Here is a 4266-nt window from a genome sequence, read left to right on the forward strand (position 1 = left end):
TGTGAATTGGCTAGTTTGAATGAATTCTGGGGGATGTAAGGGCTGTATTTAGTTATCTGGTGACTGGCCCTGGGGCAATTAAGGCTTGTACACACTGACCTGAAGTGTTACAGACCTGACTGAATGTAATGTTAGAGAGTTGATTTAATCAACAGATCAAGAAAGAAAATTAACCAGCCTTTAATCGTGCCTCAGTACTAGGTTAAAATAGCATTAAAAAGAAAAACACCTCTATTTTGGTACCTACAATGTACTAAACACTTGGAGAAGCAAAGAAAATTGGAGAAGAATTTATACAGTATTATAATAAAGTATGAAATAAAAATTATAATTATTTGTAATCTTTTGAATGACTTTGTCAGAGTACACTGATAGATTAAAAACTATGTCAGGAACTCCATAATATGACGACACAGGGTCCTTACTTTTACTCATTTAAGAGCAGTGGAAGCCACAGGGGCCAGTCATAGAACATTTTGCAATCACGTAACTGAACTGACAATTTTGTGTGTATGTCACCCTTCCAGCACCTGATCTTTGATCGCCTTTGATTTCACTTCTATTTCTCATAATCAGTTTCAGCAACTTCTCCTCTAAGTCTATATGTATCAGCTTTGTGCTTTGTAAATCATCCCATATAAAATCTTTGGCTTCTATAATCCCAGGTCTATATAGAAAGTTTGAGGAGATCCTACTCTGCAGCCAGTAAAACATTTAGCTCACGGTGCTAAATAATGACAGTGATCATGATGTAAAATATTTTGTGTTATTTTATTGATACCAAAATTTTGTGTTCATAACTTAATTATTGGCATGCAAAAGAAATAATCTTGATTTTTTAAAATATTGATATAATGTCTTTATTTAATATATATTACATGGAAGTAAGATTTTAAAATAAAATGCTGTTTTATCTTTAGGATATAATAATAGTAAATATATCAATATGTAGGGAAGTTCATAGATACTACCTTTTCCATTTTTCTTTGTTGATTCTTTTTATTTATTCTATAAATCTGCTTTGATTGATATAATCTGTTTGGTAATGAAATAAAATATATTTTCTAGGAAGGTTGAATTTGCTAGTCTAAAAATACTATAGTTCTGAACAAAAAGATAAATAAACAAGAAAAACAAATATGCTGCAAAGTTTTAAAAAGAGCAGATAATTCTAAGGTACAATGGAATTTAAAGCTGTGATGAACAGCATGATAATCTGTTTCTGCTTGGCCGCTGTATTAGTGTTTTCACACTGCTATCAAAAACTACCTGAGACTGGGTAATTTATAAAGAAAAGAGGTTTAATTGACTCACAGTTCCATGTGGCTGGGGAGGCCTCAAGAAATTTACATTCATGGCCAAAGGTGAAGGGAAAGCAAGGCACATCTTACATGGTGGCAGGAGAGAAAGAGAGAGAGAGAGAGAAAGTGCCACACATTTTCAAACCATCAGATCCTCGTGAGAATGCTATCATGAGAACAGCAAGGGAGAAGTCTTGCCCCCATGACTGAATCATCTCCCACCAGGCCCCTTCCCCAACACATGGGGGTTAAAATTCAAGATGAGATTTGGGTGGGGACACAGAGCCAAACCATATCAGTGACAAACATGTAATCTGAGGGACAAATTAAACATTGATTCAGTGTTATGTTACCAAATGTAATATTTGGGCTTTGGAAATATGCTTGATTTGTCTAAGGGACCAACGGATATCTCAAACCACTAGACTTGTGGGGGTATTTAACAAACCTATTACCAAACTCACAGCTTCAAGGAAAGATTGCATTATCTGGCAAGGTAGATTCTTTGACTACAGTGTCATTTTGCCTTTTTCTGCATTGCTCCTTATTTCCACATATCTCTTTCCATTCTCTTTAGCTTATACAAACTTCTCTCTCCTGGGAGTTTAAAGGCACCTCATTCATCACCACACTCTCATTAATATCCTTTGAACTTAAAGAATACTTTTCAAGAATGATTGACTTCATCATAAAATTTGACCTTAATTTTTCACTAAACCTCTACTCTGATCAGCTTTCCCAGTGCCTTCTTTTGTCCTGGAATATATATATATATATATATATATATATATATATATATATATATATATATATATATATTTACTTTCATATACAAGCATGTTACTTGAAATATATCACACATTTAACACTGGGTAGTCACAGAAGTCATAGTCAGGAATGATGCATGACATAATAGGAAATAGGTTAAACAGGCAGGCTGGGAATAGGCCACTTGTTCTTGCCTTTGAAGGCATTAAATTATACTATTAAGAAACATAATAGAAATAATTTTTCTACCTATGGTTCAGAGTGCCCAGTAAAACCTAGATCCTTAATTTTGATCCAGTTTCAAGGGCCAAGCTGTAATCCCTTCCTAAAAATGGAATTGATGCTGTGCATTTGTTCCTCAGAGAAACTTACTTTTTCACTTTATTTTCACTCTTCTCAAATGCTTCAAATCTTTCTTGTGTGGATTGGTTTGCCTCTTTGCCTCGGACCCATTTTTCCCCCTTTTCTTGGCCCCGTTGGATAGATAGGTTCTCTGAACTATGTCATGGATCCCTGTGTTTACCTATTCCCAGGAGGCTTTTTACAATTTCTACTTTTCTACACTACCTACTGAAAACAAGAACCAACTTAAACAAGTCTCATGACCAATTCTACCTCCTGAAATTACAACCAGATTTAGATTCTTGTTCTGTTTCCCGCCCCCTGCCTCCAGTGACATAAAAGAGTAGTTTATGTACTATTAAGGTTTATCTGAATTTTAGTTAGAAATCTTCCTGTGAAGGAAATTGAGCATAATTTAATCGTTTTCTACAATCATATACACATATAGTCCACCCATTATGTTAGGCAGTGGAGATGCTGCAGTAAAAAAGATAAACGAAGTCCTTGAATTCACATTTTAGAGAGAAATGCAAGAAAACACAGAAAAATACATGCATAGCACCCAACTAATTAAAATTTTTAATAAATGAAGTAAAAAAATACATACGGTAGTCTAATAAAGATGAACTGACATGGAAAGTACTTCTTGAGAAGAAAGGTTGTAAACTGGTATCTAAATAATTTTAAAAATGGCCTAGGGATGAGCATAAAAGAAAGGGCCATTTTACAAAAGATAATGGCCTTTTTGAGCAAAGAAAATGATGCCCAAGTGATCTGGTATGTTGTGTAAGAGGAAGGCTATGTAAGATGATGGTAGATATGTGAATTTATGGTTATAGTAAGTGACACATTTGTAAGTTAGGGACTGGCATAATCTCATTTATGATTTTGATCTACTACTCTTCTTAGAGAATGAAGAATGGGTTATTGTAAGCTACGGACTGGCATACTCTCATTTGTGATTTTGATCTACTATTCTTGGTAAATGAAGAATGGGTTATAGAGATGAAAAAATGGGAGGGAAGCCATTACAAGTTATTGCAGAAATTGATGTATGAAGTGAAGTGATATAAATGTAGTATTGGGTAGTGGTAGGTGAGGTTTAGATAAGAAAAAAAAATTCTAAATATTTTGTAGAATTTGTTGATGAAACCAGCTGCAGTTTATGAGAAAAGCAATTATTTTTACAACTTGTTAAAACAGAGGCTACCTACTGAATTAAAATGGCTTAGGAAGAACAGGTTTGTGGAGTGTGATAGGATGGGACTCAAAGTCCCATTTTGTATACATTCAAATCTTATGAATAATTTTTGAAACAGTGTAATATAGGCAGTTTAATATACATGTTTGAAATTCAGTTGTAGGGTTTTTAATGATGATATAAAGTTAAAGGTATAATATAAGAGATATTTAAAATCACAAAATGATATTATCATATACTGTAATAGTATAAATAAAGCAAAGAAAGCAGACTGGCAAGACTGGAATACTCTAATTTTAAATAAAAGGGGGTGGCATTTAGCAATAGAGACTAAGAATATGCAGCTAAAGAGGTAGAAGAAAACTGCACAGAATGTTCCAGAAGGACGCAGTTCACAACTATCGACTACCCTTTAAGGTTTAGAAAGATGCCAGGAAGAAGAAATGACAGGATATGGCAAGAAAAAAAGTTGTTAGTGACCATAAAAGTGGTGTCAGAGCAATGAGGGCATAAGAGTCGATCATTGATTCTGCATCAATAGCTGCAGGAAAGGCCTTAGATAAAATTCAGCATCCTTCATGTTAAAAACATCTCAGAGGCTGAGTGCGGTGGCTCATGCCTGTAATCCCAGCACTTTGGGAGGCTGAGTTGGGT

The sequence above is a fragment of the Homo sapiens genome, chromosome 9 (genome assembly GCF_000001405.40).
Source record: "Homo sapiens chromosome 9, GRCh38.p14 Primary Assembly".
Lineage (NCBI taxonomy): Eukaryota > Metazoa > Chordata > Mammalia > Primates > Hominidae > Homo > Homo sapiens.